The sequence below is a fragment of the Homo sapiens genome, chromosome 11, assembly GCF_000001405.40.
Source record: "Homo sapiens chromosome 11, GRCh38.p14 Primary Assembly".
NCBI classification, from domain to species: domain Eukaryota; kingdom Metazoa; phylum Chordata; class Mammalia; order Primates; family Hominidae; genus Homo; species Homo sapiens.
The window spans coordinates 106,657,957-106,672,350 of NC_000011.10; the positions used below are offsets into that span (position 1 = coordinate 106,657,957).

The 14,394-nt window shown below is 35.9% G+C and overlaps 1 annotated feature.

Moving 5' to 3' along the window:
• Positions 12,057–12,587: an enhancer, noted in NCBI's record as "OCT4-NANOG hESC enhancer chr11:106540739-106541269 (GRCh37/hg19 assembly coordinates)". NCBI's record gives its function as "activates a minimal SCP1, AML or CMV promoter by ChIP-STARR-seq in primed H9 embryonic stem cells {active_cell/tissue: H9 hESC(primed)}" and the evidence as "EXISTENCE:reporter gene assay evidence [ECO:0000049][PMID:30033119]".

Genomic DNA, 14,394 nt, shown 5'->3' on the forward strand with positions numbered 1-14,394 from the left:
AAATCCTGAAATGTGGAGGCTGAAAATATGGAGGGCCAACTTTACTACACTGTTTTGTATAAAAGGCTTAAGCATCTGAGGATCTTGGTTTCTGTGGGGGGATCCTAGAACTTCCACATATGGAGGGCCAACTGTACCTGTGCATACATACACACATCCGTACACATGAACACACACACACCTCTTCTTTACCAAGAGCAAGTTTATAATTTTACTATCTTAAAGTAAACTGAACATTTCAGAATTGTGAAAGTGATATTCTTAACATCTAGTGGTGTTTTTTGTCTAAAGTCTATTTTCCATGATATAAATATAGCTAAATTTGGGGAGGGGGACTCTCAGTATATTTTTTCTATCCTTTTATTTCCACCTTTCTGTATGTTTCTGTTATAAATGTGTTTATTATAAATAACATATAGATGAACCTCCCCCCAGTCTGACAATTTTTCCTTTTTTAACATCTATTTAACCTCTAACAAATTTAACCTCTAAATTTGTCTTTTTTTATTATAATTTAATGACATATTTTGATTTATTACTAACATGTTTTTGTGCTTTTATTTCTCCCAGTATTTTCTGTTTCTTTTTCTTTGTTTTCTTGCTTTATTTTGGATTGAGTGACTATTTCATTTTTCATTATATTTTTCCTCTACTAATCTGGATATAATTTATTTATACCATTTTAATATATATCTATAAATTTTAAAATACATATGCAACTTACCAAAATCTCACATTAATCAATACCTTTAGCCTCTGGCAAATGACACAAGGTCTATTCTTAAAACATCTAAGGATATATAAATATGCTTTATATTATCTGTGACCAGCCTGTCCCAACCTGTATGATATTGTTATCATATATTCTGGTTTAGTTTTATAGTTGATAATCCCAAAATATTATAATAATTGTTTTATGTGGCCAATGCATTTTTTAATTTATCCACTTTTTTTTGCTTTCTATTTTCTTAATTAATTGTGGAATCTCAGATTCTTTTCCTCTGGATTCATTTTCCTTTCACCCGAAGCACATTCTTTAGAAGGTTCTTTAAAAAAGTTCCGTCAGAGACAAACATAGACCATTTCTTTTGCCTTAAAAAGATTTTATTTTGCACCCACTCTTGAAAAATTTTGGCTGGGTATAGAATTTAGTAAATGAACATTTATTTTCTTTAACACACTCTGCAAACCATCTCACTGTCTTGTGGCATCTATTGTTACTGTTAGTCCATTTTTCACTATTTTAATAGTGAATCTGTCTTTTATTCTCACTAGTTTTAAAATCCTCGGATTCAAAGTTCTGCAGTTATAATATACATAGTTCTGGATTTCTTTTTATTTGTTTTACTTTGATGTTGTTTGGCTTCTAAGTTTTCTGGAAAATCTGAACTGTTATCTGTTCAAATATTACCCCTGCCGCATTCTCCCCCACCACCGTCATTCTATTCCTCGTGGCATCTCAGTTAAACCTGTGTTAGCTTTTCTGACTTTATCCTCCATTCCTCTTTATCTTTATTTCACATTTCTATCTCTTTATTTACCTAATATGCCTTCCCTTATTATAAATTCTATCTTTCCATTCACTATTCTTTTCTAATTGTGTCCAGTCTGCTGTTAGGCTTATAGATGGAGTTTTTAATTACATTATTATATTTATTCATTTCTATAAATTTTGTCAGCTCTGTTTATATCCTGATTGCTGTTTGTTCTTATTGTAAAGCCTCTTTAAATTTCTTGAAACTGTTAAATATACTCATTCTATAATCTGTGTTCTATTAATTCCAACATCTGGAAAGTTTTACAGCCCTAATTCTGCCACTTTTTTTAGTTGCCTCTTTCTCATAATGCCTGATTTCCTTCAGTTATTTTTATCTGTTAAACACTTTCCTTGAAACTTATCTGAGTAAATGTCTTTGTAGCCAGGGCAAAATTAGGTTCCTCCAAAATAACTTGTCTCCTTGCTTCTCAGGTACTTGCGATACAACTGGTTTGGTATGACTCAATCCTTGGCTTGAGGTTATTGGCCAGCCCAGTCAATTTTCATTTGACTTGCTCACCTGCATTAGAATCAAGATACGGTTATAATTTCTCAAGGGAGATTTTAATTTTGTCCTTTAATCAGTGACAAGGAATGAAATAGACAGTTTTCTTGCTATTTTCTGAGTAGTAGGGAGAAGTTACATTTTCGCTTACTCTTACATCAAAGGTGTAGTTCTTCGTGGTCTGAGTTTAAGAAATGAAGGTAAAATCCTGGATTTATCTTCTATTTTCTGATGATACTAAGCTCTCAACTCACACATGTTCAGTTCTACTGGATACGATAAAATGTTCAAGGGTAGATTGGCTTTATGGCTCTTAAATACTTGGCTCATGTTCTATTTCTTATACCTCAATTATACATATATAAACACACATACAAGCATACACACACACATACACACACACACACACACACGCGTAAATTATTTTTAGTATTCCACAGAAAGGCTGCAATGGGCAGACTGAGTGCTTGCAAAATTCATGTTATAATCTTAGCCCCCAATGTGGTGGTATTAGAAGGTAGGGCCTTTGGGAAGTGATTAAATCATGAGGTGGAACCCTTGTAAACAGAATTTGTAACCTTATAATGGCCCAAAGGAGCTTGTTTATTCCTTTCATCAGGTGAGGACACAGCTAGATGGCACCATCTATGAGGAAGCTGGGCTTCACCAGACAAGTATTTGTGTGCTTTGATCTTGGACTGGAAATGTGAGAAATAAAATTTTGCTGTTCATAAGCTACCTAGTTTATGGTATTTTGCTATAGCAGCCTTGAAAGACTAAGACCAAGGCCTAGGCACCTGGACTTTTCATCTTTCGAGAAATTGAACAAAGTATTTCTCTTTACCACTTAAGCTGAAAATTATCATTTTTGGACTGGCAACATTAATTGATTGACATTATTGTCATTACTCTTATACACATTCTATTTTGTAGTTCTTCTTGGCCATGCCGATGTATTCTCTTTTTCTGTTTCTTTGTATTAATTGAAGCTTTTTTAGTTTCTTTCCACACACTTATTTTTTCTTTGTTTTCTCTTTTTGTGTTTGAAAGTTTACAATTTATTTCTGTTTCTGTTGAGTTTACTTTTAAATTGTAACAGGCATAACTGATGTAGAAAGTCTAATGTTAATCAACATTTATATCCTCCTCTCAAGAACAAGACTCAAAAAACTTAACTCTGATCACTTATTCTCATTTTACATGTTGTTATTTTCTGTATTATCCCACTTTGATTTTTGTAATCTCCTAAATTAGCACTGTGGTTTTATTTATGTATATAGTCAGTGCTTATTTGGATTTACCAAAGCCTGCATTAGTATCTTACTTCTTATTCTTCCTACGTCTCAGATCATCTTTCTGAGATATTTTTCTAATTTCTTTCAGAAATATATTCTTAAGTAGCTTTTTGTGATGAGTTCATCTTCATGTAAAAATGTCTTTATTTTGCCCTAACTTGTGAATTCCAAATTTGTAGTCTTTTTCTCTCAGCACACAAAAATATACCAACTCCTTTCTGACTTGTGTTATGGTTACTGAGAAACGTGCTGCTTGTCTAAATATTATTCCTCTGTGGAAATTCTATTTCTGTCCTCAGGTTACTTTTAAGGTCTACTTTTTTATAAGATAATTCTTTTGCATTTACTGAGATCAACAACTCTTCTCCTTTCTGTCATTTTCTGTTTGTACATTTTTGGTGGAAGTTTTTTTTCTGCTTCTATGTCTTGAAATTTTAGATTGTGAACTAATGTTTGGTAGTGCTTTATCTTTAGGAATTCTATTTCTTCTGGGTTGGAATAATCTCATTCTAGAGATATTTTGATTTCCTTTTTGCTGGGCACCCAAGGAGTTTTAGCATTTCAGGGGAAATTTTTTATAGTAGCATAATCTCAATAGCCTAGCTCTGGCCTGTGGTCATCAATTCTTAGGAGAAATTATTATTTGTGTCCCACCTGAATCATACTGAGAAAGAAAAACTTCCTCCATGCAGCTGTACAGGAGAGGGTGGATTTTTTTCTCCCCAGTCCACCTTTTTTACTGAGCCCATATAAGTTTTGAATTTCTCCCAAGTGTTTCCGGTTCCCTGTGGCCTATGACCTTGTGTCTGTTAGATGTTAAAATTTCTTATTTAATGAGACCAACGGTCATCTTTTTTTCTCCCCCTCCTCATACCACTACAGGGCTTCTGAAGCATCAGCTCAAGTGTTTCTCTGACTTTTTGGCTTCCAGTTCATCCTCTTACTTTCTTGTATGCCAATCTATATATTTCATCCTTCATTTTTACCTCTTTTTTAGAGGGGCATTTTCAGGCTTTCTCCTCTTTTACAGTGCTGGAGATAGAGGCCTCTCTTCTATTTTTTTAGAACTCCCACTCACCCATCAGAACTCAGCTCAAAATCTACATGCTCAGTGATTTTTTTCTTTCATCTCTATTGTACATATCACAGTACTTCCTAAGGTTCCCACATCACACCATTCAAAATTTGTATTTATACATTTGATTGTGCAATTCTGATTAAACTTTGTCTCCTTTATAATTTATTCAGTTCCCTCATGGGAGGAAGCATGTGTTTTACTCATGATTGTCCATGAGCCAAGCACAGCTCCAGGCACAAGTTTATGTTTAGTAAATAAATGTTTGATAAATTAGTGAATGTTAGAACCTGGATAGGGATGATGAAAAATTAACACATACCATTCAAGCATTGCAATTCAGGCTCTTTAATGTAAGATGAAGAAAACTGGAGGTGATTTTAAGACAGAGAAAATTAACAAAAGGAAAGATTTAGCGTTCCTCTGTAAATATTGGAGAAATACAGGTAATAACACTGAATCTGATGTTTAGCTCTGTAATCTATCAGGTGATTTTGGAACAGTTGCTAATTCTCAATGTTTTCTTTTTTGACTAACAGATACCCACACACTAATGTTAAGATGGGGACAAAATGAAATAAATAATGTAAAATGGGACCTTACACATAGTCCAAATTTACTAATAACCATAGCCCTTTTTTACCCGGAAAACTTTAAAGGAGAATTTACTGTTAAACTCAGCCTTAAGAAACCCCTTCTGAATATAAAGATGTGCAAGGATTGGCCATGAAGCTTGGTGATAGTTGGGTATCTTCTGTTGGAAAACTGCATGTGGGGTCATTGTGATTATGTACAGTGGTTCCAGTCATCTTGTGCTGAGGTGGTGGGTGGATTAGGTGAGGTGGTGGGTGGATTAGGTGAGGTGGTGGGTGGATTAGGTGGCCATTCTTATCTATGAGTCTTGATTAATTGCACATAACCACAAAAAAAAACAAAAGTTATTTGGAGAGTCCTTTTCATCTTAACTGGCTGAAAGTCTTGCTCTACATTTAAATGTGTTACTCAGTGTGTATCAGGTATTTAAATCAATTCTCACTTTCTTATATTAGCACTAAGAAACTCAGAGTTGCATTAACTTATTGAAACATCTTTATATTTGGTCCCAAAGCAGAAAAATCAGTCTTCTGACTAGATAGGGTTCCTACATGTTCAGTATTACCATTGATCATGAACCTCCTTCCGTAAGAGCATGTAGGAATCCTTCTAGGTGAATGATGAGGAGCAGACAGAAGGCAGAGAGACAGACTTTAAAAAATCTGTTTAAATTAAGATTTTAATATCTCTCCACATGGTAGGTAGATTGTATCCCAAATTCCCTACCCTCAATACAGTTAATAATTTAAAAGAGGCATGATTTAGCAGTGATATTAAAGCTCACATTACCTTTTTTCTGGTCCTAGAATTGCTTTTATGCATATACAAAGCAGGAGGCTACCTACGTGATGTGACTTATAGGATACTAGGAACTAGCCTTCATCTGAAAATATTACCTTCTATGCGCTATTTCATCACTGATGTTGATTCCTACTTTGAAAATGCAAATATCTCTACTACAATGAATTGGTTACACGGGTACTAAATATGTTTAAAATGTGTTGCATATTTTGGGTGACCCACTGGCAGATTAAATAATCCTGAGATATTTGGCATAACTATGGCTAACCTGCTAAATCCACTCCACCCTTTTCCGATTGGATAACTGCCAATCAAAAGCTACATGGATGCTTATTTATTGCCATAAACTAACAGTATAATTTTCTCCCTCTTTAATTCAGGCTGGGTTCAGGGATGTTTTATAATCCAGCTTCCACTAGTGAGGGTACAGCATTCCTCCAGTCAAACCAATTATTTTAAATTTGTTTTATGCTTCACATCAGAACATAATCCAGAGAAATAGAGAGGGCCTTCTTTTCCTTCAATGACTGAAGAAAAGTACTACCAAAGCCATTTTATTTTACAAGAGGAGCCAGTCTGCAGACCAAACTGACAGGAAAAGGAGGATGGAGTCACAGGTACACAAAATCTGTGCAGCACATCTAAATTTTTAATTCTATGAATGTATAATTTTTCTTTATTTTTTTAAAAGTCCATTGCATTCAGTTTTCTATTACTTGCTAGTATACCCATCTTAAAAGACACTCTTGCTTTTCCATCATTGGCTGTTAATGAATAATGGTCTGTTCTGTTTTAGATTCCTAAGGCTGGGACAACCTCCCTCTGATACTAATGTCCCACAGTGGCATTACAGTGTGTTGGGAAGAAGATAAGAAAAATTTCATAAAGGCAAGAGATAGTAGTGGTCACACTGAAGAATGGATAAACATTCTCTAGGTAGGTCAGGACAATGAGCAAGTATTCCTACAAACTAAAAAATGAACATCTATTGTCAACCGAGGCTCTCGATACAGCTAAATTGGGCTTTCTGTTACTCAACCTCTAAATTAAAAGCTGTTTTTCAAATTAAATTGATTTAGCACCACATAATTTTTTTTCATTTTTATGAACAAAAAAGTGTTTACAGATAAGTGCTGTTTCATGGACCAGTGCTAGTGAAGCATTGTCTGGGTAAGAGACAATTGCATCTGCCATATCCATGACAGCAAGAACCACTATACTTTGGTTGAGGATGGAAAAGAAGTTATCTGAGGCAGAAATTTCAGGATTTGATGATAGCAAACAGGTATTATGTCTTACATTTAATTATGTGATAGATTGCTTTTGTGTGACCTTATCTCTAAAAACTCAGTAACATTTGGAATTTAAATCCTCTCTCTAAAGTTTAAACAGATCTTTTGGGGAGGACATCTCTTCCACAAACTCTGTTAAATTCATCACCTGGGCTTTGAAACAACACTGCTTGTTGTCTAGGTAGCATGTGAGTCTTTAGCAGAACAACTTTTACAGCTTTGGCTTTTGGGGTTCCTTCCTATAAGAGTCCCTGGGGCCAGGTTGGGGAGCAAATACTGTATTCTCGTTTCTGAATTTTTCTGTTTTTCCCCTTAGAGCCCACCTATAACTCCTCCTTTCCTTTAGCATATGAATAAATATCTTCAGGTTAATCAAATCATGCCCATAAACAACCATGCTTATTCATCCAATTACTTCTTAAACTTAGCTAGGACGCTCTGTAGCCCATTTTTTTCCTTTTAACTTTTTTGCCACATAATAATCGTACATGTTTATGGGATACAGAAGATATTTTGATACATGTATACAATGTATAATAATCTTATCGTGTCAATTAGCATATCTGTTACCTCAAAGATTATCATTTCTTTGTGTTGGGAACATTCAAAATCTTCGAGCTTTTTAAAAATATACAATATATTACTAACTATATTCACCTTACAACGCTATACAGCACTAGAACTTTTTTCTACTGTAGAGCTACAACTTTTTATCCATTAAAAATCCTCTCCCTGTCCTCCCCTGTCTCCTCCTCTTCCCAGGCTCTAATAACCACAGTTCTACTCTTTACTTCCACGTGCTCAACTTTGTAGATCCCACATGAGTGAGAACGTGCATTATTTATCTTTCTGGGTCTGACTTACTTCACTTAATGTAACGTCCTCCAGGCTCATCCATGTTGTCTCTAATGACAGGATTTTATTCTTTTTTATGACTGAAGAGTGTTCCTTTGTGTATATATTCAACGTTTTCTTTATTCATCTGTTGATGGACATTTGGGCTGATTTTATATTCAGGCTATTGGGAATAATGCTGCAATTAACATAGGGATACAGATATCTCTTTGAAACACTGATTTCCTTTCCTTTGCATAAATATCCAGTAGTGGGACTGCTGGATCATATGGTTCTATCTTTAGTTTTGTTGAGGACTCTCCATACTGTTTGCCATAATGGCTGTATAATTTACATTTCCACCAATAAAGTATAGGAGCTCCCTTTTCTTTGCATCCTTGCCAGCATTTGGGGTCAGGTGATATCTCATTGTGGTTTTAATTTGTATTTCCCTGATGATTAGTGATCTTGAGAATTTTTTCATATACTTTTTGGCCACTTGAATGTCTTTTTTTGAAAAATGTCTATTCGTATCCCATATTTTAATGGAATTTTAAAAGAACCCTTGTGTTATTTGACTTTCTTGCATATTCTGGATGTTATATGGATACTTGTCATATGGATAGTTTGCAAATATTTTCTCCCATTCTACAAGTTGTCTTCTGACTCTGTTGATTATTTCCTTTGCTGTGCAGAAGCTTTTTAGTTTGAGATAGTACCATTTGTTTGTTTTTGTTTTTGTTGTCTGTGCTTTTTAAGTCTTATCCATAAAGTATTTTACTAACCAATGTCCTAAAGCTTTTATCTTACGTTTTCTTCTGGTGTTTTCGATAATTTCAGGTCTTTCATTTAGTTCCGTAACCTATCTTGAGTTGATTTTTGTATGTGATGAGAGATAGGGGTTTATTTCATTCTTGTGAATATGAATATCCAATTTTCCTAGCAGCATTTACTGAAGAGGGTGTCCTTTTCCAGCAGTACATTTAATATAATTGAGTATCTAGACATTCAGCATCTATCTAGCAGAAATGCATTAATGATTACAGCCAAGAACATAGTGAAATGATATGTAGAATAATACAAAATATTTAAATCAAATATGCATTTGATTAAGAGATTGATCCCAAAACCTGTAAGATCGAGAAAGTAGAAATATTGAGCTGCAACTATATTCTGATGAATGTTCTCTTGGTAACGTCCTACTAATCGATACTTATTTTGTTACACAGAGGACACCATATAAATAAATCTTGAGATTATAATTTAAAGATAGCTAATATTGGAAATTTAGCTTTTGGAAGAAGATGTAATTGGTCTAATCTTGGATAGTTAGCTCTTTGCTACAACAACAAACTTAATGACAACTCCTGAGACTAAGGCCATCTGAATCACTAATGCTGTCAAAAAAGTTCTGTGTGGAAGTCACATAAAATCAACATATTCCCTCCTATTTGTATGTAATTTAAAAGTAGAGCATATGATTTTTAGTCAGCCCCTCAAGCATTCTGCATTGAGAGACAAAAGCTTATTAGTCACAGATCCAGCATCAAAGAACATTTTAAAATGTAAGCAATTCCCTTCTCCAAATTGAGAAGATCAGCTAAGTTGCATGCTAAAATAAGGAAATTAACAACGTCTCAAAGAGCCTTATCTTGTCTTAAAAAAGAGACTCATGCCAGTCTTCCCATGGGGTTTATTAGAGGAATGGGAAAAAAGTTTTCCAATTTTATTGGAAATCTAGACTGACTGAAGTACAGTTATCTAATTTAGTAGGAATATTTTGTCATTTCCTAGCTAATAAATTCCATAGCTGGAACAGAATACAGAACCCAGAAATAAAGCAAAATACCCACAGCCAACTGATCTTTGACACAACTGACAAGAACATACACTGGGGAAATGACATCGTTTTCAATAAGTGCTGGGAATATTGGATTGTTGTATGCAGAAGAATAAAACTGGACTCCTATCTCTCACTGTACACAGAAATCAACTCAAGGTGGGTTAAAGACTTAAATGTGAGACCTAAAATTATTTTTTAAAAAATACTAGAAGAAAACCTAGGGAAAGCTCTTCTGGACGTTGGTCGTGGCAAAAAATTCATTGTTAAGACCTCAAAAGCACAAGAAACAAAAATAAAAATAGACAAATGGGACTTAGATAAACTAAAAAACTTCTGCACAGCAAAGGAAATAATCAACAGACTAAACAGAAAACCTGCAGAATGAGAGAAAATTTTTGCAAACTGTGCATCATACAGGGGACAAATATCCATAATATATAAGGAACTCAACAAAAAACTCCCCAAATAATCCCATTAGTAAGTGGGCAAAGGGCATGAATAGACACTTCTTAAAAGATGACATACAAATAGCCAACAAGCATATGAAAAAATGCTCAACATCACCAGTCATCAGATAACTCCAAGTTAAAACCACAACGGGATATCAGCTTACACCAGTCAGAATGGCCATTATCAAAAAGCCAAAAATAACAGATGGAGAGGATGTGGAGGAAAAGGAATGTTAGTGGGAATGTAATATGGTTTGACTGTGTCCCCACCCGAATTTCACCTTGAATTGTAATAATCCCCATGTGTCAAGGGCAGGGCCAGGTAGAGATAATTGAATCATGGGGGTGGTTCTCCCATACTGTTTTTGTGGTAGATCTGATGGTTTTGTAAATGGCAGTTCCCCTGCACAAGCTCTCTTGCCCTCCCAACATGTAAGAAGTCCCCTTTATTCTTTCTTCATATTTCGCCATGATTGTGAGGCCTCCCCAGCCATGTGGAACTTTGAGTTCATTAAATCTCTCTCCTTTATAAATTACCTAGTCTTGGGTATTAGCAACATGAGAATGGACTAATACAGAATGTAAATTAATACAACCTCTATGAAAAACAGTATGGAGATTTCTCAAAGAAGAAAAAATAGAACTACCATTTGATCCAGCAATCCTACTACTGGGTATATATCCAAAGTGAAAGAAATTATTATATCAAAAAGATACCTGTACTTATCTGTTTATCACAACACTATTCCCAACATGGAATCAACCTGTGTGTCCATCAATGGATGATTGGCTAAAGAAAATGTGATATATATATATATATATATACATATATGTGTATATATATGTATATATATATATATACATATATATATACACATACACATAATGGAATCCTATTTAGGTATAAAAAATAAAATTGTGTCTTTTGCAGCTATGTAAATGGAACCAGAAGCCATTATCCTAAGTGAAACAACTCAGAAACAGAAAGACAACTACTGCCCTCACTTATAAGTGGGAGCTAAATAATACGTACACATAGACACACAGTGTGGACTGATGGGCGTTGGAGATTCAGAAATGGGGAGAGTTGGTGGGGGGCGTGGTGAATGAGGAGAAATTACTTAATGAATACAATGTACATTATTTTGGTAATGGATACACTAAAAACCCAGACTGGCCAGGCACAGTGGCTCATGTCTGTAATCCCAGCACTTTGGGAGGCCGAGGCAGGTGGATCACCTGAGGTCAGGAGTTAGAGACCAGCCTGGCAAACATGTTGAAACCCCATTTCTACTAAAAATAGAAAAATTAGCTGGGCATGGCGGCACAGGCCTGTAATCCCAGCTACTCAGGAGGCTGAGGCAGGAGAATCACTTGAACCCAGGAGGCAGATAAATAAATCTTGGGATTATAATTTAAACATAGCTAATATTGCACATTTAGCCTTTGGAAGAAGATGTAACTGGTCTAATCTTGGATACAGCCAAGATTGCGCCATTGAACTTCAGCCTGGGCAACAAGAATGAGACTCCATCTCAAACATTAAGTAAACAAATAAATAGAAAATACAAACTCAGACTTCAATTCTACACAATATATCCATGTAACAAAATTGCACTTTACCCCCTAAATTTACATAAATAAAAATAAATAAATGAATAAATAAAAATAAAATAAATTGCATAGCTGAGATTGATTCCAGGTCTGTGTAATTGCTAATATCACACACTTAAATTATAACACCACGTGCTTGCTTCTTTTGTTTCTGTAGTCATAACTTTGAACTAAAAGGCAGACATTCAGGTCAAAATCTGGTAATGTGCTTCTATATAACTTTTGTATTTTGAAAAATTGAAATCGTACAGGTATTGCCTCCCCATAATGGAAAATGTCCTAGGTTTGAAGTCTAATGCTGAAAACCCAGAACTGTATGTAATCTATCCAGTACTGGGGTGGAAAAGAGTTACTTACTTCCCTTGTTCTGCTCACTGTAATTCTAATGACATATGCACTTTGCGTATGCCAACAGTTCTATTCAACAGGATCATTAGGCCCTTTTAACTTAGTGCTTGAGAGGAAATAGTGGTGGGGAGGCTTTGTCCTAAGGAATTTATGTTACTTTCCATCTTATTTGATCATGGTGATGACTACACTTTTCATTGAAGTCCCTTCCTGATTAGTATAGCTCACTCAAGAGAAAACTGAGAACCTTGTGGGATCTGTGGTCTAGTCAATGTTTTATGTGGGGGATTTGTTTGCAGATACTAATCATAATTTGGTTAGAACATCTCTATCCATGGGAATTAGAGAACCAAGACAATCTCATAGCTGATATTATAATTATGATTTTGAATGATCTGAGCTCTGTTTTGAATAGAAAGACATAGCTTTAATTCTGAGATAGTTTCATTTTCCTGAGAATAAGATAATAAATAATCTCAAAAAATACAATTGTGGCAGAAATAGCTGTCCACCAAAATCCTTACTCTTCTTTCTGGTGACAATGACTCCCTCCTCACCAAATCTGAGTCAGGGTCCTCTCAGCCCCCTGTGTGGTTAGGCCCCAACCTTGTCCTGCTTAGCCAGTTTTAGCATTAATCCTGCTGCGTTAGTTTAGAGGAAATGGCTCAACCCTTGATATCTCTCAATATTTGATCAAATTCCTCATATTCCACTCTCAATATCTAATCATGCTGACCTCTCATCAGGAAGAATCCTGTCAGATGTTTAGCCAGAATTTCCCTAGCTTTGATGTTTTCTTTTGGTAATTTTCCATCCCTCCATTGACGCCCACCCTGCTTGTTGGCTATAAATCCCCACTGATCCTTGATGGAGTTGAGAGTTGAGCCCAATGTCTCTCCCCTACTGCAAAACCCCATTGCAGTATCCCACAAATAGTCTGCCTTATCTTTAACAAGTGTTTGAAAGATTTTTCTTTAACACTGGTATGTAACTGGAGTGCATTTTCCATCTTTTTTGCAGTTTGATTTGGTTGTGTGACTGATTCTAGAGGTAGAAATGTGAGTAAAAGTAATCTGTGCTGTTACCAGGCCTGGCCTATGAAATCTTTTTTTTTTTTTTTTTTTTTTTTTTTTTAAGACAGAGTCTCGCTCTGTCACCCAGGCTGGAGTGCAGTGGCGTGATCTCGGCTCACTGCAAGCTCTGCCTCCCGCGTTCACGCCATTCTCCTGCCTCAGCCTCCTGAGTAGCTGGGACTACAGGTGCCCACCACCAGGCCAGGCTAATTTTTTGTATTTTTAGTAGATTTGGGGCTTCACTGTGTTAGCCAGGATGGTTTCAATCTCCTGACCTCGTGATCTGCCTGCCTCGGCCTCCCAAAGTGCTGGGATTACAGGCGTGAGCCACCGCGCCTGGACCTGGCCTATGAAATCTTAACAGGTAGAATCCCTGTCAGCCTGGGCCTCTAAATAGCATGAAGCAGCTTTACTCCAATCTGGTACCCTTTTGGCCTGATGTATTAGTGGGAAATACACATTTATTGCAAGAGGTCTTTATCTGTTTGGATTGTTTAACCTAGCCTAAGTAATATGCAGAATATGAAGCCTTGAAGATGAGTGCTCCTAAAACAGAAGCCTAAATTCTGTGGCACTGGCTGAGAACCAAGGTGGGAGTTTCTGAGATCAAAAAGAGCTAGGTGGTAGCAAAACACTTAGTAAGTATGCTGATCTTGGATAACTTGGAAGGCAGATCAAGTGCTCTGAGTGTCTACATTTATAGGAGAGTGGTTGAGGGGAACCAGAATATCAGTAAGCGTTGGCTTCTTGTTTTACAAGAAGGTTTTGGACAAACCTGGGTGGTTTGTAGGCAGAAACTGAAGAATGCCAGTGACTTCTGTCCTTCAAAAAAAGGAGACAAGACTGATAAGGACTGAGCAACAGCAAGTAACTCATTAAGACTTCTCATTTTACCAAAGGGACTCTGCCCCGTAGCAAAGATCAGACAAAGAGTGCTACTTTCCCTCCAAAACCTTCCTTCCAGTTCTGTGTGACATCAAAGTAGCTGCCATTAAATTAAGGGACAAAGAAATAAGGCAGGAGTAAAAACTTTAGAAGAGAACCTTGGTTGGGATGTCTCACATGGGACAGACTGGAAGCAAGCAGATCAGAAGCCTTTCAAGTTTTAAGGTGACTGTTTTGTCCAACAACAAA